This window comes from Homo sapiens, chromosome 13 (assembly GCF_000001405.40).
Source record: "Homo sapiens chromosome 13, GRCh38.p14 Primary Assembly".
Lineage (NCBI taxonomy): Eukaryota > Metazoa > Chordata > Mammalia > Primates > Hominidae > Homo > Homo sapiens.
In genome coordinates this window covers 60,246,550-60,272,682 of record NC_000013.11, presented here as the reverse complement: position 1 = coordinate 60,272,682, position 26,133 = coordinate 60,246,550, and the positions used below count along the sequence as shown (strand labels likewise).

At 40.3% G+C, this 26,133-nt stretch overlaps 1 long non-coding RNA gene across 1 annotated transcript in view, besides 1 other annotated feature; it reads left to right on the top strand.

Annotated features, from left to right (window-relative positions):
• The first annotated feature begins 4,578 nt into the window (after positions 1 to 4,578).
• LINC00434 (long intergenic non-protein coding RNA 434) overlaps positions 4,579 to 26,133 on the top strand; it is a 53,758-nt gene continuing 32,203 nt past the window's right edge. Inside the window, exon 1 of the long non-coding RNA NR_047022.1 lies at positions 4,579 to 4,728. This is a non-coding gene — a long non-coding RNA (long intergenic non-protein coding RNA 434). The remainder of the gene's footprint in view (positions 4,729 to 26,133) is intronic.
• Positions 10,754 to 11,048: an enhancer, noted in NCBI's record as "tiled region #561; K562 Activating non-DNase unmatched - State 3:PromF". NCBI's record gives its function as "activates a minimal TATA promoter and a strong SV40 promoter by Sharpr-MPRA in K562 cells {active_cell/tissue: K562}" and the evidence as "EXISTENCE:reporter gene assay evidence [ECO:0000049][PMID:27701403]".

Sequence of the window (26,133 nt, the reverse complement as noted above, 5' to 3'; positions counted from 1 at the left end):
ACACAAAATTAGCTGGGTATGGTGGCACATGCCTGTAATTCCAGCTGAGGCCAGAGAATCGCTTGAACCCGGGAGGCAGAGGTTGCAATGAGCCAAGATTGCACCACTGCACTCCAACCTGGGCAGCAAAGTAAGACTCGTATCAAAAACAACAACAGCAACAACAAAAAGATGGAAAAGTAAACAGCCAAGTACAATACAGCGTGATGAGTTCATTGATTAGGTATGCACAGAGGGTGCCACATAGGAGTGTACCCACAAGGAGGAATAACACTGAGTCTTGGGGTGTTGCGGACCAGAGGAAGAAAGAACGAGTTAGTAAGGCAAGGGTAGAAATGGGAAGTGTGTGGGGGTGGGTGCACATGGATATATGCACAATATGTGTGTGCATGCAAACTTGTTCTCTTTTTTTACTTCTATATGTGTGGATTTTGAGGGAAGCTGGTTTCAGGCAGAGAGCTACATGTGCAGAAGCCCAGGAGTTAGGAAGAAATGGTGACTTAGGAAAGTGGCAAGTAGTTCTTTGTAAATAGAGCTTAAATGTGGGGAGCAAGAAAAGGTTAGAGATTGAAGCAGGGGCCCTTGAGCATTTGGATTTTGTTTTTGTGGTAATCAAAAGTTATTGAAGGCTTTTAGTGGGGGAATCAGGTTTTCCTTTTTGGAAATATTACTTTGTCTGCAATGTGGATGAAAGAATTGAAGCAGCAAAGCTGAAGGCAGGAAGACCAGCTCTGAGACAGTTTCAGAAACTCAGATGAAAGATAATGGAATTTTGCATGAAGTGGTGTCAGTGAGGATGGAGGAGCTGCCCTTGGCACCCGCAAGCAGATAGTCCAAGCAGATCTGTCCCCAAGGCAGATACAGGCTGCCTTCCTCTATTCTCTCACTGAATACAATACGTATTGTTTGCATTTATCATGATCTGTTATAATTGTTTGCTTGCATGTCTTTCCCACTGGACAGTAACTTCCTTGAAGTGAATAAGTGCTGATTTCCATCTTGCATCTAGTTTCTCAGAGCTCTACCCGATACCTGGCAGTTTCTTCAATGTTTGTTGAAGGAGAAACATGCATCCCTTAAACGTTTCACCCATTTTCCTAGTTCTACCACTTGGCAACTGTAAGACACATATTTAAACCCACTTTCTATTTATTTTATTTTATTTGTTTGAGACAGAGTCTTACTCAGTTGTCCAGGCTGGAGTGGAGTGGAACAATCTTGGCTCGCTGCAACCTCTGCGTCCCAGGTTCAAGTGATTCTCCTGCCTCAGCCTCCCAAGTAGCTGGGATTACAGCTTTTGTATTTTTAGTAGAGACAAGATTTCACCATGTTGGCCCGGCTGGTCTCAAACTCCAGACCTCAAGTGATCCACCCGCCTTGGCATCCCAAAGTGCTGGGATTACAGACGTGAGCCACCACGCTCAGCCTCAGCCTCCACTTTCTGTTTAAAGTCTCTTCAGAGCTCCCCTTTCCACTTCCAGGGTCAACGACTTAATCCTTTCAACAGTTCTTTGTCTGACTTAGTTTTGAATCCTTCATAATCCTACTTCCAGTTTACCAACTTATACCAAACTCCCAGGACAGTGCACTTGATTTCTGGTATCTTGGAAGATACAAGCCAAGCTCCAGAAGGTAAGTGAGATGGAAGAACCTAGCCTATACTGTTAACCAATGTTTATCTGCAGTTTGCATGATCTTCTTTTCCAAAGACTAAGCTAAAGACTAAAGCAAAGAGAAAGCACTTTAAGGAAATGAACAATTTCCTCATACATTCTACGAGAATGTCCTCTATGTAAAGATTGGGGAAGGAGTGAGAAGCTGTGGAGGAAGGTTCCAGGTAGGCAGGAGTGAATCCAGCCCCACTAACAAAGAACAAAAGGAAATGCAAGCAGTTGAAATGAGAACCCAAGAGGGTCTACATTGCATTTTATCCCTTAGGCTGCCAAAGCACAGAGTATCAACTTCAATCCCACTCACAAGTTACCCAACCATCTCTCTCCCACAAAACTAAAATATTTAACATTCCTTGTTATTTTTCTTTAGATATACATGTATAAGCACAGACTTTCTGGCTGGAGAAGGAGAGAGACAGCAATATTGAAGAATAAAAGTTCCATTGTTCTGTTGCTTCTAAAGTAAATGATGGAAATTATAAGCTAATTTACATATGGGAGATTAGCAGAGTATCCCTTTATTCCTATTAATATATTTTCCCTTCCTAATTATAAAGATTTGAATCTTTTTAAAACAACTTTATACAAAACATTTGTGTGGATATAAGAATTGCATGTTAAATGCTAATTCTGGATGAGTTATTTGCATAACCTTACAAAGGAGCTAAATTGCTTGTATTTAATAATAAATAGAGAGTTTAAAAAGGATTGAGGATATCTTGAGAGAATGTGAAACAGAGAAAAAATTTGCTTCTATTTTAAGATATGGAACTTTTTTTCCACTTCGAATTTAAAACTACTCTCCACCCTCTAGGGAAAACTTGTCCTAACTTTCCGATAAGCTTAATATTCCAAGTCTCCTGTAACATGACAATTCAAATACGTTGAAGGTGAAGAGCTAATCTGTTTTTAAATGAACATGGATAATTTTCAAAAGACAATAAACTGCTTCTAAAATAGTTTTGCATTTGAAAAGTGAAGACTTGAAGATTATAGATTCTGCATATGTTAGCAAAATAAAGAGAATTGTGGAAATTATCCAGAGAATTCAGGGAGAATCAAAATTTATGAAGAAAAAAAGATTAAAGTCTTTTTTTAAAGTATGAGATTTGACAGTGCTCATGAATCAGATAGTAGTCATCACTCCTGCAGGAGAAACATGATAGTAGGTGAAATACACATGAAATAAGTATGATAAATACTTCTAAATTTGATTTGATGTTTATGCTCTTTGAAATTAAGAACCAGCCTCTTCCTTACCAGTATTCAATACAGTAGGCAGTTTATCTTTCTTTCTCCCCTTCTACCCTTAACTCTTTCCTTAATTGACACCATCCTCTCTTGGGTTTCCTTCTATCTCTCTGCCAAATCCTCCTCACACTCCTTGTGAACCCCTATCTCCTTTTGACTTCTAATTGTTGCGTTTCCCCAGGATTTAGTCCTGAGCTCTCTTTTCTTCCTTATTGCCCTCTTTCTAGGGGATCTCTTCAGTTCCCATGACTTTAAATTCCATTTATATGCCCCCGAATACCAACTTTACACCCAAAACCTCTCCTCAGAGTTCTGGTTTGCAGGTTCCTGCTAGCTATCTGCTCTCAGACATCTCCCAGCATCTCACAAGCAACAAGGCAGTCCCAAACCACACAATCAAGGCAACCCACCACTCTTATCTCCCCAAACTCCTCCACTTCAGCAACGATACTCATTCTGGTTACACCGTATCAACACAATCTCTCTGTCATTTCTACATTGAAAATGTACATCGAATCCTTCCACTGTTCTTCACTTCCACCACTGACACTCTAGTCTAAGCTACCATCTCACATTGACTATTTTGCAGGCTTCTCTACTGGGTACTGACATGACTCCAAAAACCGGTTTTCTCCACAACAACTACAGTCATCTTCTTATATCACAGATCATTACTGGCTGCCTTTCCTTCGAGTTAACAAGCAAATTTTAGACCCTACTGCAAAATGGCTACTCTGGATTGCCATGAGTTTGACCTGATCTGTGAACATGTCACTTTTCTATTAAAACCCATTCATTGGCTTCCTACTGCATGAGAATAAAATCCAAACTCCTTACTATGGTCTACAAAGACCCCATATGATTTGGCTATTTCCTGTCTCACAAAACTCAACTATCTCCCGGCCCCTTCCCCTTTCTCACTACTCTGCAGCCACACTGACCTTCTTTCAATACTCAAAGGCCCCATGCTTTTTCCATTCTCAGGAACTTTACATATGCTGTTCTTCTATTGCCTTCCTCTACAGCCCAGTGCAGTGGTGAGAGGAGGGGCTGGCTGGGCTTCCTGGGTCGAGTAGGGGCTCAGAAAGCTGTGAAACTCCCTTATTTCCTGCATCAGGACTTACTTTGGTCCTGGATGGATAATATTGAAGATACATGCTTAAACTATTCCTAACACCAGGATTTCTGCATGTGTTTTCTTCCCCAAGAAAGCCATAAACAGCGAAAATTTTCCTGTACGTTTCTCTGTGTCCTCTCTCCCTCTCTCCCCTTCCCCCTCCCCCGAAACTAAAGTAAAAAGAATGTTAACTGGCCATTTTTCTGTGACCAGTGGACCTTATCTATACTCCCAATCCCAATTCCTTGTGAACATACTTTGTAAAGTCCTGTAAGATGCTGTCTCCTTTGCCATGCCGCTGCGAGGTCATAAAATAAATAAAACCTAAGTTGCAATTCCGGTTTTCCTTAAGATCTAAGACATGTCACAAATGGTTGTCTTTTTTTCTTGCTCTGGTAACATCTTCCCGCTGCACGTATTTCCCACCTTAAAGAGTTTAAAAGGCAGTTGTATAATCTAACTCTGGCTACCCATTCGGGAGGGACCCCTTCCACGCTGTGGAAGCTTTGTACTTTCACTCTGCTCAATAAAGCCTACCGCTTTTTCTCTCTATCAGTCCTTGTGTCTATCACTCGCTGCGGTCAGCTGCCACACCAATTCTTTGGTGTGGCTAGGCAAGAACCTTACGTGTTACATTTTGGCGAGCCAGCCAGGAGTCTCCAGGAAAGGCATCTAGATCGTCACATGGTGAGTATGATCGGACCTCTTTCACTTGCTATTCTGTCCTGTCCTTCCTTAGAATTCGGAGGCTAAACCGGGCACCTGTTGGCCACTTAAAGGCGATTAGCACGGCCACCGGACTAAAGACACAGGTGTCAGGCTGTCCGGAAAAGGGCTCTGTGACAACCCCTGACCCTTCGGGTTTGGGAGCGTTGGTTGGCCGGTTGGCCTGGAACCAGTTCCAACTCTTTTGCTTTCTGTGGTGGTCCCAAGGTACACCGGGAGTGCTCAGCAGACGTCTTAGTCTCCCGGATATCCTGGTTGAGACCATGGCCCCACCAGAGGCTCCCCCTGCACAGGTTACTGAGCGTGAGACAGCCACATCTTCTGACTCCTGCCTCCTGGGTCCTAATGTCCGCCAGTTAGACTTCTTTCCTAATCTCATAAGCAAGGTTATTCCCGCTAGGCAGGATCAAGATTCCCTATTTAGAAGTCTTTAATTCTTCAGGTGGTGCCCAAAAGATCCCTGTTCATGGTTCCCTCCAGGGTTTAGGCAGATGTCGCCATTTGATGGCTATTTTGAAGGGCCAGTTCCCCACCATGGTGTATGGTCCCCCACATCAGGACAATTTAAAGGCAGGTCTGTAATTTTCATGTGGATAATAGAAGCCTTAGGGCATTTCCTCCATTGCTCCCCAGATAAATTTTCCCCTTCCTTGGTGCCTCTCAAGTACAATCTGTGGTGCATAGGCACAGGTCTTAGAGCCGTTGAATTGTTGTTTCAACCATTCAATAATTGGTATTGGATGGAAGAAAATATGGTCAACTGGGACACAGGATACTGGTACCGCCTTGAGAGGGGGGCTTACTCCTTTGATGGCAAATGGGGACAGAAGGCTAAAGTACAGCAGCTGTTCTCTTGGCCCTGGCCTAGAGGACATCCACTACCTCCTTTAAGCTTACTAAGCCTCCTGTGGCTAATTCAGAGATTTCTCCTTGAAAGACGGTTTTATGGCCAGGCCCACATAAATTGGGCCTTAGTATGCAAGCATCAGTGGTGCCCCTGACCCAAGCCTTGCCACCCTGGAACAGGTAGGATGTGTTGGCAGAAGGACCACCATAAATCCAACAATCCTTGTGCTCCATTTAGTGGTCAATGGGCCCATGGCAGGGGCAAGGGAAGTTTCCACCCTGCTGGTAAGCATGGTTAAATGCTGTAGATGGAGAGCTCAGGAAAAGTGGCCATGAGCTTTGAGCACAATTGGACCTGACCCTTAGGGAATACCCTAAGGGAAGACAAGTCCCAGGACTAACCAGGGGTGCGGGCGTCCCTGTGTTTAAAATTCCAGATGGGCATCACACCTTCAAAACTGGACACTCCCTTAAGATGTATCCTGAATTACTGGAACAAATTCAACCCTGAAACCTTAAAAAAGAAGCGGCTGATTTTCTTCTGTACCAATGCCTGGCCACAGTACTCCTTACAAAATGGAGAAACTTGGCCCCCTGAGGGAAGTATTAATTATAACACCATTCTACAACTAGATCTTTTCTGTAAAAAGGAAGGTAAATGGAGTGAAGTCCCTTATGCACAGGCTTTCTTTGCCCTTTGTGACAATACTGCCCTGTGCCAAGCCTGCAAGCTTTGCCCAAATGACAAAGGCCCACAATTGCCTCCATACTCAGGGCCTCTTCCCTCAGCCCCACTCTCCTCAGTCTGTGTCTCTATCACTCGCCGCAGTCAGCCGCCACACCAATTCTTTGGCGTGGCTAGGCAAGAACATTAGGCATTACAGTGGCACATGCCCGTAGTCCAGCTACTCAGGAGGCGGAGGCAGTAGGATTGCTTGAGTGGAGGAGATCTGAGCTATATCACGTGGTGACTGTGCCTGTGAATAGCCACTGCACTCTAGCCTGGACAATATAGTGAGACCCTCATCTCTAAATAAATAAATAAAAATAGAGGTCTTCCTCTGCAATACGTAATACTATGTATTATGTGTTTGTTTCCTTCGGTGCACTTAGCGTAATTTATATTTATTTACTTGTCTATTCTGTTCTTGTTTTGATACTCTTTCTAGACTGTTAACACTCTAAGGGCAAGGATTACATTTGTTTTATTCCCCAAAATACCTAGAGCTTAGTACAGTACCTGTCACAGACTAGGCCTTCAAACATTTCTGTAGAATGAGTAAAGGAATGAAGAAATGAATAAGCTGTGGAAATTACAGAGATAAAGTGTTTTATCAAATTCTTAGGGAGTGAATAAAACTAGTCAACTTCTTAGCATGTGGAAACTCAGTGGTGGGTGGCTGTAGTTTGCTACTTAGAACTTGATACACTTTAGGGAAGCAATTATGTTCTATAGCAACATTTTCATGTCTGGAGAATATTAAAAGTTTTGTCATGTAACCTTTCAAAATGTCAAGTGCCTATTGTATTAAGGTTTTTAATGTTTTTAAATGATTTAGGCTAAACTGCATTCTCATTATTTACTCACAAAACCCTTGCATGACCCCAAGGAATAGAGTCAAGACCTACAAATGAAGACAAGGAAGTCAGCACACAGAGACTGAAATGGCCTGTCCTGTCATTGCAGGTCTCCAATTTTCCTGGCATGAGATGGAAAAACACTGTAGCAAGGTGACTGCAGAAAAGAATTATTCACCAGTGTGGGTTGGGACCAAATGACTTTAGGAGTACATGATTCAGTGACTCTCAACATAGTCAGTGAGTTGATGTGGCTCCTTGGACTTCTATGCTATTTTCTTTGTTCCAATATAATTTTTTGAGTCCTAAATATTGCTTCTGGAGTTATATAAAATAATAACCTATGCAAGGCCAATGTCAAATCCTTGACAATTAAAAAAAATGTATTGAGATCTGCCAGAAAATAGCCTGTGCCCTGCTAATTCCCTCTGAGTGACATTTCAAAGCTGATTACTTAGCCCCACTCAGACAGATATCCTACTGCAATCAACATCCTTCTTGTGTTAGCCTAATAGGGATTTTGCCTTAATAAGAAATATAGAATTGGGTTCTTAGTGATAATTATGATAATAATTTTCAAAAGACAAGTCTTTCCTTTAATAAATAATCCTTTTCTAAGAGCAAGCATCCTTGAATCTTACCTCTGCTGTTTTTCAAATTAACATTTTCAAAAATCAATTTTGATACTTGAGACTTATGCAAGGATAAGCGGAACTCAGAAGTGACAGATTCTGCTTTTATGTGGATATAGATGTGTACCTGATGCCAACAGTAGGGGCAAAATAAGCAAATTTACTCATTAAGGTGTTCTTTAATCTTCAGATGTCAAAGATAACCTCCAATTTATGTTAACCTAAATATCCCGTCTTCCTAAATTAATTAATTAAAACGAACAGAGGCTATCATATCAGCATATTGTTATCATTATAGCTTAAAACAAGACAAGTGATATCTCATTGAGGTTTTGATTTGCATTTCTTGATTACTGATGAGGAGCATTTTTTCATATGCCTTTTGGACATTTGTATGTACTGTTTGGAGAAATGTCTATTCAAGTCCTTAACCCATTTTTAAATCATGTTATTAGTTTCTTTGCTACTAAGATGTAGGAGTTTCTTAATATTTTGGAGATTAGCCCCTTATATCAGATATATGGTTTGCAAATATTTTCTCTGATTCTATTGGTTGGCTTTTCACTCTGTTGATTCCTTTGCTGTGCAGAAGCTTTTTAGTTCCATGTAGTCCTACTTGTTTATTTTTGTTTTTGTTGCCTTTGCTTTTTGGTGTCCTATCCATTGTCTTAATATGCTCAGACTGCTATAACAAAATACTACAAGCTGGGCACTGTGGCTCGTGCCTGTAATCCCAGCACTTTGGGAGGTCAAGGCAGGTGGATCATGAGGTCAAGAGATCAAGACCATCCTGGTCAACATGGTGAAACCCCATCTCTACTAAAAATACCAAAGTTAGCTGGGTATGGTGGTGCATGCCTGTCGTCCCAGCTACTAGGGAGGCTGAGGCAGGATAATCGCTTGAACCCAGGAGGCAGAGGTTGCAGTGAGCAGAGATGGCGCCACTGTACTCCAGCCTGGTGACAGAGTGAGACTCTGTCTCAAAAAAAAAAAAAAAAAAAATTAAAAAAATTTAAAAAAATACCACAGTCTGAGTTGCTTATAAACAATGGTAATTTATTTCTATCAGTTCTGGAGACTGGGAAGTCCTACAACAAGGCACCAGCAGATTCAATATCTAGTAGAGCCCACTTCCTCATAGATGGCCATCTTCCACTGTTACTTCCATGTGTTCCATATGTAACCTCACATAACCAACAGGGGTAAGAGCTCTCTCTGGTCTCTTTCACAGGGGCACTATTCCCATTCATGAAGGCTCCATCTTTATGAACTAGTCACCTCCCAAAGGCCCCATCTCCAAATACTCACACATGGGGGATTAGGTCTCAACATACAAATTTGGAATACAAACATTCAGCCTATAGTTTCCATGAAATCATTGTTGAGACCAATGTCAAGAAGCTTTTCTCCTATGTGTCCTTGTAGGGGTTTTATAGTTTCAGGTCTTACACTTAAGTCTTTAATCCATTTCCATTGATTTTTGTGTACAGCACAAAATAAAGGTCTTATTTCATTCTTTTGCATGCAGATATCTTGTTTTCCCACATCACTTACTAGTCTCAAAGAGACTATTCTTTCCCTACTGTGTCTTCTTGGTACCCTTTTCAAAGAAGAGTTGACCATATATGTATGGATTTATTTCTGGAGTCTCTATTTTGTTCCATTGGTTTATATGTCTGCTTTTACTTGAGTACTATACTGTTTTGATTACTTTAGCTTTGTAATATATTTAAAATCAGAAAGTGTGAAGACTCCACCTTGGTTCCTCTTTCTCAAGATTGATTTAGTTAGCTATAGTCTTTTGTAGTTCCATATAAATTGGAAAATTGTAGAAGAGTTGGTAAGGATGTGGGGAAGTTGAAACCCTTGCATACTATTGTTGGGACTGCAGAATGCTACAGCTGCAATGGAAAACACTATGGATGTCCCTCAAAAAATTAAAAATATATTTATCATATCATCCAGCAATTCCACATTGGAACATTTGTCCCAAATAACTGAAATCAGGATCTCAAAGATATATTAGTACTTCCATGTTAATTGACACACTATTTACAACAGCCAAGACATGAAAACAAATCTGTCTGAATGGATAAAGAAAATGTTGTATATACACATAATGGAGTATTATTTGGCCTTTAAAAAGAAGGATATCCTGTCACTTGCAACAACATCGATGAACCTGGAAGACGTTATGTTAAGTGAAATATTTCGGTCACAAAAAAACAATACTGCATGATTCCACTTATATGAGGTATCTAAAATAGTTAAATTCATAGAATCAAAGAGTAGAACAGTGGTTTCCAGGGACTGGGGGAAGGGGGGAATGGAAAATTAGTAATCAACAAACAAAGTTTCAGTTAAGCAAGATGAATTTCTAGAAATCTGCTGTATAACATTGTACTTATAGTCAACAATACTGTATTATACAACTTAAAAATTTAAGAGGGTGATTTCATATTAAGTGTTCTCGCCATAATAAAATAAAATTTTAAAAATACATAAGGCAGGTGGTTGGATGACTTGAGGCAATTTAACACTTCCTATTTCCATCAGCCATCTCCCACTCTACCTCCTATAAATATATAATTAAGTAAAAACAGAGCATTTGCTAGGCTATAGCTATAAGTTCACAGCCCTCTTTTAAATTCACATTCCTGCCTCCAAACTGCTCATATATGGAAACTCTGGACCCATCATCGGAGACAGGCAACATGGTGAGGCTGCTAAAACTGTGCAGAGGTTCTTAAAGAGTACAGATGATACAGGAAGTAAAAAGAAATTATTTAGGCAGTTAGGGTAAGAGAGTCCTCAGTAAGGCTTCCCTTTTAACAAAAAGCAGCCCCCAACTAATTTCTTTTCTAACAAAGAACAGCTGTAAAATCGAGCTGCAGACATAGATAAGCAAGCTGGAAGCTTGCACGGGTGAATTCCAGCAGCTGTGTCAATAGGAAAAGGCTACCTGGGGGCCAGGCATGTTCAACATGGAGGCTCCATCTTTCCTTTTGTCAACCACCTGTACAGTAAAGGAACAGGCAACATGACGCCGGCCGGGCAGAGAACCCATCTGCATAATAAAAGATCAGCGTGGAGCAGCCAGCTTCTTTACGTGCTATGTAAATGACACACCTGGTCTGACCAATCTTTTGGGCCCTATGTAAATTAGACACTGCCTCCTCAAGCTCATCTATAAAACCCCATGCATTTCACCAGGGAACTGGCAACCCATTTTTCTCCAGGACCCTGCTCTGCACAGAGAGCTCTTCTCTTTCTTTTGCCTATTAAACTTCCGCTCTTGATCTCACTATGGTGTGTCATGTCCTTGATTTCCTCGGTATGAGACAACGAACCTTGGGTATTACCCCAGATGAATGACACTGCTTCACAGAGTAAAGAAAAAAAGTTGCCGAGAGTCAGTGGCAGTCCCTACAGTGTTTTTATGACACTGTCTCTTGTTACATCATCACAGGTACACATCCTTTCAGTATCAAGAAGATACCCAAATTTCACTGTTACAATGATGAGAGCACTGAATGAAGTGCTGCAAAAGTAGGTTTCTAATTCTGTCATGCCACTAGTAGCTGCAGATCCTTACCCAAGGTTTTAGTTTCCTCATCTTAAAATGGAATGTGTTGAATTTCTGCTTCTTGGAAAATAGAGTAGATGTATTTTTCCTATTTGTCCTGTTAAACACAATTTTAAAACCCTGAGCTTTACAGATAAAACAAATACAAGAAGACACTGAAAGGTAGAGAGAAGACAGACCAACAAGAGATTTTGGGACATAGGAAAAGAAATGGGGATGAGTTTCCTAAATTTTCTTTTAGCCTCATATATCCCAGACTTAGAGCTGAAGAAGCCAATAATATTGGAATGCCAGTGGGCTCAAACAAACAAAAAAAACCACAACAAAAACCTGCTCTCTCTAGCCAAAGACAGAAAAAGGACAGTCTAGCAAGGCAGAAAGCTTTTAGACAATAAGAGCGAAGCACCACAGTTAAGACTGTGGCCCCAAACTCACTCGTGCCTGCAAAGGCTGATTTAGGAGCTGAGACTTTCAATCACACATCACTATAGCTAGATGGCCCAAAACCCCCACCAGAGGGCTGTTTGAGAAGGCCAAGTAACAAGCCAGGACATCCATTCCTGCTGACTGGTTATAAATCCCCTCTCCTCATAGTAACGCTGGAAACCATTTGAGAGTCTGTAGTTCCACCCCCATTCAGCGGTAATGAGGCACCACTCCCTGTCCCTGCTGGAGTGGTATCAGAAAAGGCCCAGAGGATAGTGGGGGCTTTCACCATTAACTAGTAATAATAAGGCCATCTCTACTGTAGTGTCAACAGAGACCACAGGGGGAACCATAAGTCCCACCGTTTCAGCAGTAATGTGAAGCACCTCTTTTCCCCAGGTGTCAAAAGAGGCTGGTGGGAAACTTGGACTTCTACCTCCACCAGGCAGTAACAAAGAGATTCCCTCCCCTTTTCCTGACAGAGAAAGATAGTTAAAGTAAAATGCTTAGATAAGATCCAGAGTCTCATTTAAAAAATATAAAAAGGTTAAGATTTTATTTGAAAATCACTCATCATAACACAAAGACCTGAGCAATGTAGCAAGAACCTATCTCTACAAAAAAATAAAAATAAAAAAATTAGGTGTGGTGGTATGCACCTGCAGTCCTAGCTACTTGGGAGGCTGACACAAAAGGATAGCTTGAGCCCAGGTGATTGAGGCTACAGTGAGCCATGATTGTACCACTGCACTCCAGTCTAGGTGAGAGTGCAAGAGCTCATCTCATAAAAAAATGAAAAATAAAAATAAGACCTTAAACTTAACTAAAAATACTAACAATAATGCCAACAGTGAGATGACACAGATGTTAAATATTATTAAAATCTTTTTTAATAATAGATTTTAAATTAGCCATCATAAAAACACTTAAATGAACTGTATAAACACTCTTGAAACAAATGAAAAATAGAAAGTCCCAGAAAAGAAATAAAAAATATAAAAAGGAACCAAAGGGGAACTTTATAACTTAAAAATACAATAACTGAAAAAAAATGAGTGCAACAGTAGAATGGAGGGGACAAAAGAAAGAATCAATAAACTGGAAGACAGAGCAAAAGAAATTACCTAATCTGGCAGGGTATGGTGTCTCACGCCTGTAATCCCAGCACTTTGGGAGGCCAAGGCAGGCGGATCACGAGCTCAGGAGTTCAAGACCAGCCTGACCAACATGGTGAAACCCCATCTCTACTAAAAATACAAAAAAATTAGCCAGGCATGGTGGCAGGCACCTGTAATCCCAGCTACTCGGGAAGCTGAGGCAGAAGAATCATTGAACCCTGGAGGCAGAGTTTGCAGTGAGCAGAGATCTCGCCACTGCACTCTAGCCTGGGCAACAGAGCGAGACTGTCTCAAAACCAAAAAAAAAAAAAAAAAAAGGAAAAAAAGAAATTACCTAATCTAAACAACAGAGAGAAAATAAACTAAAAAATAAATGAAAAGAGCCTGAAAGACATGGTGAACTGTAACAAAAGATCTAACATTTGTGTCATCCTAGTTCTGGTGGAGAAGAAAAATAAGATTTCTCTAAGTACTTTAAAAAGTAATAATTTATACTTTAAAAAGTACTCAAAGACATAGTGACTAAATACTGCCCAAATTTGGCAGAAAATGTAAGTCTATAGATTCAAGAGGCTGGGGAAAGCCCAAACAGGACAAAACCCAAAGAAATGCATGAAAAGACACATAGTGATTAAACTTCTGAAAACTATAGACAAGGAAAAAATATTGAAAGCAGCTAGGAAAAAATGACACCTCACTAATGGGGGAAAAATAATTCAAATGACAGTAGATTGCCCATCAGAAATCACAAAGGTCAGAAGCATGAAGAAATCACAAAATATACTGGACTGAATAAAAATGAAAATACAACATGTCAAAATTTGTGTGGCACAGCTAAAGCAGTGATGAGAGGGAAATCTATAACACTAAAAGCATAAGTGAATCAAGAGAAAATTCTCAAATCAATACTATAACATTCCATCTCAGTGACCTGATAAAAGAAGAACAAAATAAACCCAAAACAGGTGGAAGAAAGGAAATGATAAAAAGCAGAAGTCAATGGAATTAAAAACAAAAAAACAACATAGAAAATCAACGGAACAAAGAGCTGGTTCTTTGGAAAGATCAAGAACATTGACAAACCTCTACACTGCGAGGGTAAAACCACCTACTCAAGCCTCAGCAATGGTGGACGCCCCTCCCCCGACCAAGCTCGAGCGTCCCAGGTTGACCCCAGACTGCTGTGCTGGCAAGGAGAATTTCAAGCCAGTGGATCTTAGCTTGTTGGGCTCCGTGGGGGTGGGACCCGCTGAGCCAGACTGCTTGGCTCCCCGGCTTTAGCCCCCTTTCCGGGGAAGTAAACGGCTCTGTCTCACTGGTGTTCCAGGTGCCACTGGGGTATGAAAAAAAAAACCTCCAGTATTATTAACAAAGAAAAAGAGAGAGAAGATAAATTACCAATATCAGAAATGAAACAAATGATATCACTAAAAACTCTCCAGACATAACAAAAGATAATAAGGGAATATGGATTGAGTATACCTTAACTGAAATACTTGAGACCAGAAATTTGGGTTTCAGATTTTCTTTTTCCAATTTTGGAAGATTTGCATATACATAATGAAATATCTTGGGGATGAGACCCAAGACTAAACACAAAATTTATTTATTTTTATGTAAACCTTATACACACAGCCTGAAGGTAATTTTATACAATATTTTAAATGATTTTTGCATGAAACAAAGTTGTGTACATTGAACCATCACAAAGCAAAGGTGTCAGAAATGAAATTTTTCACTGTGGTGTCAAATTGGTACTCAAAAAGTTTCAGATTTTGGGGTATTTCAGATTACAAATTTTCAGATGAGGGATGCTCAACCTTTCTCAAGGTAGTTTCCTTGAGAAAACTACCATAATCCATCCAATATGAAATAGATAATTTGAAATAGACCTATAAATGTTAAAGAAATTAAATCCATAATTTTAAACACTACCAAACAAGAATTCTTCAGTCCCAGATGGTTGGTTCTACTGGAGAATTCCACCAAACATTTAAAGAATTAACACCTATTCCACACAACATCTTCCAAAATCTAGAAGAGAAGATTCCCAGTTCATTTTATGAAGCTAGTATTACTCTATATACCAAAACCAGACAAAGACAGTGCAGAATAAGAAAACTGAAGACCAATATCTCTCATGAACACAGATGCAAAAAAAATTTAAGAAAAATATTAGCAAGTAGAATTTAGCAACATATAAAAGAGAATTATACATGATAAGTAAAAGAGATTTATTCCAGTGATGCAAGGCTGATTCAATATTTGAAAATCATTCAATGTAATCAATTTGATGTAATCCACTATATTAATCAAAGGGAAAAAAATACAACACAATGAAATAAATCAATGCAGACCAACTTATTTGACAAAATTCAATGCCCATTCATGATTAAAACTCTCAGAAAAATAGAAGTAGAGGGGAATTTACTCAACTTCATAAAGAGCATCTACAAAAGAAACCTACAACTAACATTATACTTAATGTTAAATTGCAAGGATCTACTTTTACTACCCTTGTTTGACATAAAACTGGAATTTCTAGCCAGTGTAATAAGGCAAGAAAAGGAAATAAAAGGCATACAGATCTGAAAAGAAGAAATAAAATGGTCTTTATTACAGACGAAAGAATTTCAAATTCTACAAAAGAAAAAATCTTGTAGAACTAATAAGTGAAATTAGCAATGTGGCAGGATACAAGATCTACATGTAAAAATTAATTATATTTCTATATACTAGTAATGGATACTGAAATTTAAAACATGATACTTCTACATTAGCTTTTAAAAATTACTTAGGTGTAAATCTAACAAGACACATACATGATTTGTATACTAAAAACCACACAATGCTGATGTAAGACATCAATGTTATAAATAAATGAAGAGACATACAACGTTCATGGATTGGAAGAGTCAAAATAGTAAATATATTGCTTCTCTGCAAATGGATATGCAGGTTTCACACAATTCAGCAAGGTTTTTGGTAGATAAATAGCATAAGATCAGTCTAAATTTTACGTGAAAATGCAAAGGAACTAGAATAGCTAAAGTAATTTTGAAAAAAGAATAAAACAGGAAGAATCAGTTCTGTTTTAAGACTTATGATATAGCTACATTAATCAAGACTCTGTGGTCTTAATGGAGGGATAGAAAATAGATCAATGGAAGAGAATAGAGAATCCAGAAATAAATTCACACAATTATGCTGATATAATTTGGGTCTGTGTCCCTGCCCAAATCTCATGTCAAATGGTCATCCTCAGGTTGGAAGTGGGGCCTAGTGGGAGGTGATTGTATTATAGGGGTGGATTTCCCCTTTGGTGCTGTTCTTGTGATAGTAAGTCATCATAAGATCTGATTGTTTAACAGTGTTTAGCATGTGTGTCCCCCCACCCCCAATTCCTCCTGCTCTGGCCATGTGAAATTGTGCCTGCTTCCCCTTCACCTTCCACCATAATTGAAAGTTTCCTGAGGACTCCGCAGCCATGCTTCCTATACAGCCTGCAGAACCATGAGCCAATTAAACTTCTTTTCTTTATAAGTGACCCAGTCTCAGGTATTTCTTTACAGCAGTGCAGGAACAGACTAATACCTATGCCCAAAAGATTTTGACAGAGGTATAAAAGCAATTCAATGGAAGAAAGATGACCCATTTAACAAACTACTGTATCAAATGGACAGCCGTAAGTTCAAGAAAACATGAAGAAACTTGGCCTAAGTCTTATAACTTATTCAAACAATGAAGTTGAAATGAATAATAGATTTAAATTTAAGATGTGAAATGACAAAACTTTTAATAAAAAACAAAATTTTCAGTAATTAGGGCTACACAAAGACTCCTTGGACCTGATACCAAAAGCATAATGCATAAAAAAAGATGATAAATTGAACATTATCCAAATTTTAAAATATTTACTTGGTGAAAGTCCTCATTAAAAGATGAAAAGACTGGTCACAGACTGGCAGAAAATATTGGCAAACCACATATCTGACAAAGAGCTTCTATCTAGAATATATAAAGAACTCTCAAAACTAAACAGTAAAAAAAAAAAAAATACTATCAGAATATTGGCAAAATACATGGAGAGACACTTCACTGGAGAGAACACACAGAGAGTAAATAAACACATGAAAAGATGTTCAACATTATTAGCCATCAGAGAAATGCAAGTTAAAACCACAATTAGATATCACTGTGCATCTATCAAATTGGCTAAAATAAATAATAGTGACAACACCAAATGCTAGAAAGAATATGAAAAAATGGAATTACTTGCATATTGTTGATGAAAATGAAAAATGATAGTCACTTTGAAAAATAGCCTGAAAGAAAGAAAGAAAGAAAGAAAGAAAGAAAGAAAGAGGAAAAGAAAGAAAGAGGAAAAGAAAGAAGAGTAGAGGAGGGGGAGGGGGAGAGGAGGACTGGAGGGGAGGGGAGGGGAGGGGAGGGGATGTCCTTCAATGGATGAAGAGTTAAACATATGGTGCATTCATACCAAAGACTACTACTCAGCAACAAAAAGGAACAAGCTATTGATACATGTAATAACTACATGAACCTCTAGAGAATTATGCTGAGTAAAAAAGCCAGTTCTCCAAGATAACATTTATGATTTCGTTTCTACTACATCCTTGAAATGACAAAAGTATGCTCTTTGGTGCTGAAATTATGTCAGGAATTAGTATACAGGGTCAATGTGGAAAAGAAAGGTAGGCAGCTTAACTGGCTTCTTTTTTTTGGTTTTTATTTATTTTTATTATTATACTTTAAGTTCTAGGGTACATGTGAACAATGTGCAGGCTCGTTACATAGGTATACGTGTGCCATGCTGGCCCGTGGCACCCATCAACCCATCATTTACATTAGGTATTTCTTCCAATGCTATCCCTCCCCCCGCCCCCCACCCCATGACAGGCCCTGATGTGTGATGTTCCCCACCCTGTGTCCAAGTGTTCTCATTGTCCAGTTCCCACCTACGAGTAAGAACATGCAGTGTTTGCTTTTCTGTCCTTGTGATAGTTTGCTCAGAATAATGGTTTTCAGCTTCATCCATGTCCCTGCAAAGGACATGAACTCATCCTTTCTTATGGCTGCATAGTATTCCATGGTGTATATGTGCCACATTTTCTTAACCCAGTCTATCATTAATGGACATTTGGGTTGGTTCCAAGTCTTTGCTATTGTGAATAGTGCCACAATAAACATACGTATACATGTGTCTTTATAACAGCATGATTTATAATCCTTTGGGTATACTCCCAGTAATGGGATCGCGGGGTCAAATGGTATTTCTAGCCTAGATCCTTGAGGAATCACCACACTGTCTTACACAATGGTTGAACTAGTTTACACTTCCACCAACAGTGTAAAAGCGTTATTTCTCCACATCCTCTCCAGTGTCTGTTGTTTCCTGACATTTTAATGATCGTCATTCTAACTTGTGTGAGATGGTATCTCACTGTGGTTTTGATTTGCATTTCTCTGATGGCCAGTGATGATGAGCATTTTTTCATGTGTCTGTTGGCTGCATAAATGTCTGCTTTTGAGAAGTGTATGTTCATATCCTTTGCCCACTTTTTGATGGGGTTTTTTCTTGTAAATTTGTTTAAGCTCTTTGTAGATTCTGGATATTACCCCTTTGTCAGATGGGTAGATTGCAAAAATTTTCTCCCATTCTGTAGGTTGCCTTTTCACTCTCATGGTAGTTTCTTTTGCTGTGCAGAAGCTCTTTAGTTTAACTAGATCCCATTTGTCAATTTTGGCTTTTGTTGCCATTGCTTTTGGTGTTTTAGACATGAAGTCCTTGCCCATGCCTATGTCCTGAATGGTATTGCCTGGGTTTTCTTCTAGGGTTTTTATGGTTTTAGGTCTAATATTTAAGTCTTGAATCCATCTCAAATTAATTTTTGTATAAAGTGTAAGGAAGGGATCCAGTTTCAGCTTCCTACATATGACTTTTTTTTTTTTTTGAGACGGAGCTTTGATCTTTTTGCCCAGGCTGGAGTGCAATGGTGCGAACTCAGCTCATTGCAACCTCCACCTCCTGGGTTCAAGTGATTCTCCTGCCTCAGCCTCCCGAACAGCTGGGATTACAGGTGCGTGCCACCACACCCGGCCAAATTTTTGTATTGTTAGTAGAGACGGGGTGTCACCATGTTGGCCAGGATGGTCTCAATCTCTTGACCTCGTGATCCGCCCACCTCGGCCTCCCAAAGTGCTGGGATTACAAGCATGAGCCACTGCACCCAGCCCTTAACTGGTTTCAATCCAAAAGGTTCAAGCTGAGAGAGCAACTGTAGATATGAGATATCAAATCAGAAACCAGAGATGGTAGAAATGCTGCCCAGAGCAAAAGAAGGCTGGATAAATTCTCCATATTGCTGGGACATAAATGAAGACACTTTTATAGGATATTTGTGCTTCAACTGCAGATGAAGAAAGCTGTTCTATGTTGGTTCAGACACATTTCTTTCTTTTTTTTGTTTTTTTTTTTTTTTGAGAAGGAGTCTCGCTCTGTTGCCCAAGCTGGAGTGCAGTGGCACAATCTCGGCTCACTGCAACCTCCGTTTCCCAGATTCAAGTGATTCTCCTGCCTCAGCCTCCTGAGTAGCTGGGACTATAGGTGTGTGCCACCACACCTGGCTAATTTTTGTATTTTTAGTAGAGATGGGGTTTCACCATGTTTGCCAGACTGGTCTTGAACTCTTGACCTAAAGTGATCTGCTTGCCTTGGCCTCCCAAAGTGCTACAATTACAGGTGTGAGCCACTGCACTGGGCCCCAGACACATCCTTTTATTTGACAGATATATAGTGAGAACTTCCTATATGTGCCAGGCCTTGTGCTGAGTATTGGGGAAGTAAAGGCCATTAAATGCTTACAGTTTAGTTGAAGATAGAGATAAAGTAGCAATTACTAAGTCCTATGAAAAGATAGAGGTAAACATGGGGAAATATAAGTGCTCCCAAAGAGGCATTTCTGTTGTTCATGAGTTTGTATTGGTAAGGGATGGTGAGGGGGTTAGGCCAGAGAAAATGTTTCTGAGACCTGCCACTTGAACTGGGTCTTGGAAGGACAAATAGGGGTTGGCAATGTGAAGGAGAGAAGGAGGGAGAAAAAATGTCAGGCAGAGGAAAGCAGAAAAAGTCTGTGTGAAGGCACTGAGGTTCAAAAAACCATGATGCCTCTATGCAAATTCCATTACTGAAGAAATTGACCAGGAAAAGGTGGTGGTTTGGGAAACACTGGACAGAGCCTCTGCTGAGAGTGAGTCGTAGAGCTGAAAGCAAGAGCATTAAAAGGAAGACTGCACAAGAAAGGTGAATCTTCAAGCCCCGACCCTGTGTTCAGAATGCCAACATCCAGGCTTCTACCACCTGGGACAGAAGTTTATTCTAGTTCAGTGTTTATGACACTTTAACGTATGTATGATTATCCTGGATATCTAGCTTTGCAGATTCTGATGCAGTGGGTTTGGGGAGGGGCCTGAATATTGCATTTCTAGGAGTCTTCTGAAGGATGCTCAATCAGCTGGTATGTGGACCATACCGTGAAGAGCAATGGTTTAGAGTGGACTCGTCTCCAGGGCAGACATGAAAACATTCCATAGGAGTGATGGAAGACAATATTAGAACTTGTAATTTTTATAAAAACTGCTTTATTAAAAAAGTAGGAGTGAGGGAGGAGCCAAGATGGCTGAATAGGTACAGCTCCGGTCCACAGCTCCCAGCGTGAGCGACGCAGAAGACGGGTGATTTCTGCATTTCCATCTGAGGTACCGGGTTCATCTCACTAGGGAGTGACAGACAGTGGGCGCAGGTCAGTGGGTGCAGTGCACCGTGCGCGAGCCGAAGCAGGGCGAGGCATTGCCTCACTTGGGAAGCACAAGGGGTCAGGGAGTTCCCTTTCCTAGTCAAAGAAAGGGGTGACAGATGGCACCTGGAAAATCGGGTCACTCCCACCCAAATACTGCACTTTTCTGACGGGCTTAAAAAACGGCGCACCAGGAGATTATATCCTGCACCTGTCTCAGAGGGTCCTACGCCCACGGGGTCTTGCTGATTGCTAGCACAGCAGTCTGAGATCAAACTGCAAGGAAGCAGCGAGGCTGGGGGGTGGCGCCCGCCATTGCCCAGGCTTGCTTAGGTAAACAAAGCAGCCCGGAAGCTCCAACTGGGTGGAGCCCACCACAGCTCAAGGAGGCCTGCCTGCCTCTGTAGGCTCTACCTCTGTAGGCAGGGCACAGACAAACAAAAAGACAGCAGTAACCTCTGCAGTCTTAAATGTCCCTGTCTGACAGCTTTGAAGAGAGCAGTGGTTCTCCCAGCACACAGCTGGAGATCTGAGAACGGGCAGACTGCCTCCTCAAGTGGGTCCCTGACCCCTGACCCCTGAGCAGCCTAACTGGGAGGCACCCCCCAGTAGGGGCAGACTGACGCCTCACAGGGCCGGGTACTCCTCTGAGACAAAACTTCCAGAAGAACGATCAGACAGCAGCATTCGCAGTTCACGAAAAACCACTGTTCTGCAGACACCGCTGCTGATACCCAGGCAAACAGGGTCTGGAGTAGACCTCTAGCAAACTCCAACAGACCTGCAGCTGAGGGTACTGTCTGTTAGAAGGAAAACTAACAAACAGAAAGGACATCCACACCAAAAACCCATCTGTACATCACCATCATCAAAGACCAAAAGTAGGTAAAACCACAAAGATGGGGAAAAAACAGAGCAGAAAAACTGGAAACTCTAAAAAGCAGAGCACCTCTCCTCCTCCAAAGGATCGCAGTTCCTCACCAGCAATAGAACAAAGCTGGATGGAGAATGACTTTGACGAGTTGAGAGAAGAAGGCTTCAGATGATCAAACTACGAGCTACAGGAGGAAATTCAAACCAAAGGCAAAGAAGTTAAAAACTTTGAAAAAAATTTAGACAAATGTATAACTAGAATAACCAATACAGAGAAGTGCTTAAAGGAGCTGATGGAGCTGAAAGCCAAGGCTCCAGAACTACGTGAAGAATGCAGAAGCCTCAGGAGCCGATGCGATCAACTGGAAGAAAGGGTATCAGCAATGGAAGATGAAATGAATGAAATGAAGTGAGAAGGGAAGTTCAGAGGAAAAAGAATAAAAAGAAATGAAAATAGCCTCCAAGAAATATGGGACTATGTGAAAAGACCAAATCTACGTCTGATTGGTGTACCTGAAAGTGACGGGGAGAATGGAACCAAGTTGGAAAACACTCTGCAGGATATTATCCAGGAGAACTTCCCCAATCTAGCAAGGCAGGCTGACATTCAGATTCAGGAAATACAGAGAACGCCACAAAGATACTCCTCGAGAAGAGCAACTCCAAGACACATAATTGTCAGATTCACCAAAGTTGAAATGAAGGAAAAAATGTTAAGGGTAGCCAGAGAGAAAGGTCGGATTACCGACAAAGGGAAGCCCATCAGACTAACAGTGGATCTCTCAGCAGAAACTCTACAAGCCAGAAGAGAGTGGAGGCCAATATTCAACATTCTTAAAGAAAAGAATTTTCAACTCAGAATTTCATATCCAGCCAAACTAAGCTTCATAAGTGAAGGAGAAATAAAATACTTTACAGACAAGCAAATGCTGAGAGATTTTGTCACCACCAGGCCTGCCCTAAAAGAGCTCCTGAAGGAAGCACTAAACATGGAAAGGCACAACCGGTACCAGCCACTGCAAAATCATGCCAAAATGTAAAGACCATCGAGACTAGGAAGACACTGCATCAACTAACGAGCAAAATAACCAGCTAACATCATAATGACAGGTTCAAATTCACACATAACAATATTAACTTTAAATGTAAATGGACTAAATGCTCCAATTAAAAGACACAGACTGGCAAATTGGATAAAGAGTCAAGACCCATCAGTGTGTGGTATTCAGGAAACCCATCTCACATGCAGAGACACCCATAGGCTCAAAATAAAAGGATGGAGGAAGATCTACCAAGCAAATGGAAAACGAAAAAAGGCAGGGGTTGCAATCCTAGTCTCGGATAAAACAGACTTTAAACCAACAAAGATCAAAAGAGACAAAGAAGGCCATTACATAATGGTAAAGGGATCAATTCAACAAGAAGAGCTAACTATCCTAAATATATATGCACCCAATACAGGAGCACCCAGATTCATAAAGCAAGTCCTGAGTGACCTACAAAGAGACTTAGACTCCCACACATTAATAATGGGAGACTTTAACACCCCACTGTCAACATTAGACAGATCAACGAGACAGAAAGTCAACAAGGATACCCAGGAATTGAACTCAGCTCTGCACCAAGTGGACCTAATAGACATCTACAGAACTCTCCACCCAAAATCAACAGAATATACATTTTTTTCAGCACCACACCACATCTATTCCAAAATTGACCACATAGTTGGAAGCAAAGCTCTCCTCAGCAAATGTAAAAGAACAGAAATCATAACAAACTATCTCTCAGACCACAGTGCAATCAAACTAGAACTCAGGATTAAGAATCTCACTCAAAACTGCTCATCTACATGGAAACCGAACAACCTGCTCCTGAATGACTACTGGGTACATAACAAAATGAAGGCAGAAATAAAGATGTTCTTTGAAACCAATGAGAACAAAGACACAACGTACCAGAATCTCTGGGACACATTCAAAGCAGTGTGTAGAGGGAAATTTATAGCACTAAATGCCCACAAGAGAAAGCAGGAAAGATCCAAAATTGACACCCTAACATCACAATTAAAAGAACTAGAAAAGCAAGAGCAAACACATTCAAAAGCTAGCAGAAGGCAAGAAATAACTAAAATCAGAGCAGAACTGAAGGAAATAGAGACACAAAAAACCCTTCAAAAAATTAATGAATCCAGGAGCTGGTTTTTTTGAAAGGATCAACAAAATTGATAGACCGCTAGCAAGACTAATACAGAAAAAAAGAGAAGAATCAAATAGACGCAATAAAAAATGATAAAGGGGATATCACCACTGATCCCACAGAAATACAAACTACCATCAGAGAATACTACAAACACCTCTACGTAAATAAACTAGAAAATCTAGAAGAAATGAATAAATTCCTCGACACATGCACTCTCCCAAGACTAAACCAGGAAGAAGTTGAATCTCTGAATAGACCAATAACAGGAGCTGAAATTGTGGCAATAATCAATAGCTTACCAACCAAAAAGAGTCCAGGACCAGATGGATTCACAGCCGAATTCTACCAGAGGTATAAGGAGGAACGGGTACCATTCCTTCTGAAATGATTCCAATCAATAGAAAAAGAGGGAATCCTCCCTAACTCATTTTATGAGCCCAGCATCATCCTGATACCAAAGCCGGGCAGAGACACAACCAAAAAAGAGAATTTTAGACCAATATCCTTGATGAACATTGATGCAAAAATCCTCAATAAAATACTGGCAAACCGAATCCAGCAGCATATCAAAAAGCTTATCCACCATGATCAAGTAGGCTTCATCCCTGGGATGCAAGGCTGGTTCAATATACGCAAATCAATAAATGTAATCCAGCATATAAACAGAACCAAAGACAAAAGCCACATGATTATTTCAATAGATGCAGAAAAGGCCTTTGACAAAATTCAACAACCCTTCATGCTAAAAACTCTCAATAAATTAGGTATTGATGGGACGTATCTCAAAATAATAAGAGCTATCTATGACAAACCCACAGCCAATATCATACTGAATGGGCAAAAACTGGAAGCATTCCCTTTGAAAACTGGCACAAGACAGGGATGCCCTCTCTCACCACTCCTATTCAACATAGTGTTGGAAGTTCTGGCCAGGGCAATGAGGCAGGAGAAGGAAATAAAGGGTATTCAATTAGGAAAAGAGGAAGTCAAATTGCCCCTGTTTGCAGATGACATGATTGTATATCTAGAAAACCCCATTGTCTCAACCCAAAATCTCCTTAAGCTGATAAGCAACTTCAGCAAATTCTCAGGATACAAAATCAATGTACAAAAATCACAAGCATTCTTATACACCAATAACAGACAAACAGAGAGCCAAATCATGAGTGAACTCCCATTCACAATTGCTTCAAAGAGAATAAAATACCTAGGAATCCAACTTACAAGGGATGTGAAGGACCTCTTCAAGGAGAACTACAAACCACTGCTCAAGGAAATAAAAGAGGATACAAACAAATGGAAGAACATTCCATGCTTATGGATAGGAAGAATCAATATCGTGAAAATGGCCATACTGCCCAAGGTAATTTATAGATTCAATGCCATCCCCATCAACCTACCAATGACTTTCTTCACAAAATTGGAAAAAACTACTTTAAAGTTCATATGGAACCAAAAAAGAGCCCGCATCACCAAGTCAATCCTAAGCCAAAAGAAAAAAGCTGGAGGCATCACGCTACCTGACTTCAAACTACACTACAAGGCTACAGTAACCAAAACAGCATGGTACTGGTACCAAAACAGAGATATAGATCAATGGAACAGAACAGAGCCCTCAGAAATAACGCCGCATATCTACAACTATCTGATCTTTGACAAACCTGACAAAAACAAGCAATGGGGAAAGGATTCCCCATTTAATAAATGGTGCTGGGAAAACTGGCTAGCCATATGTAGAAAGCTGAAACTGGATCCCTTCCTTACACCTTATACAAAAATCAATTCAAGATGGATTAAAGACTTAAATGTTAGACCTAAAACCATAAAAACCTAGAAGAAAACTTAGGCGTTACCATTCAGGACATAGGCACGGGCAAGGACTTCATGTCTAAAACACCAAAAGCAATGGCAACAAAAGCCAAAATTGACAAATGGGATCTAATTAAACTAAAGAGCTTCTGCACAGCAAAGGAAACTACCATCAGAGTGAACAGGCAACCTACAAAATGGGAGAAAATTTTCGCAACCTACTCATCTGACAAAGGGCTAATATCCAGAATCTACAATGAACTCAAACAAATTTACAAGAAAAAAACAAACAACCCCATCAAAAAGTGGGCAAAGGACATGAACAGACACTTCTCAAAAGAAGACATTTATGCAGCCAAAAAACACATGAAAAAATGCTCACCATCACTGGCCATCAGAGAAATGCAAATCAAAACCACAATGAGATATCATCTCACACCAGTTAGAATGGCAATCATTAAAAAGTCAGGAAACGACAGGTGCTG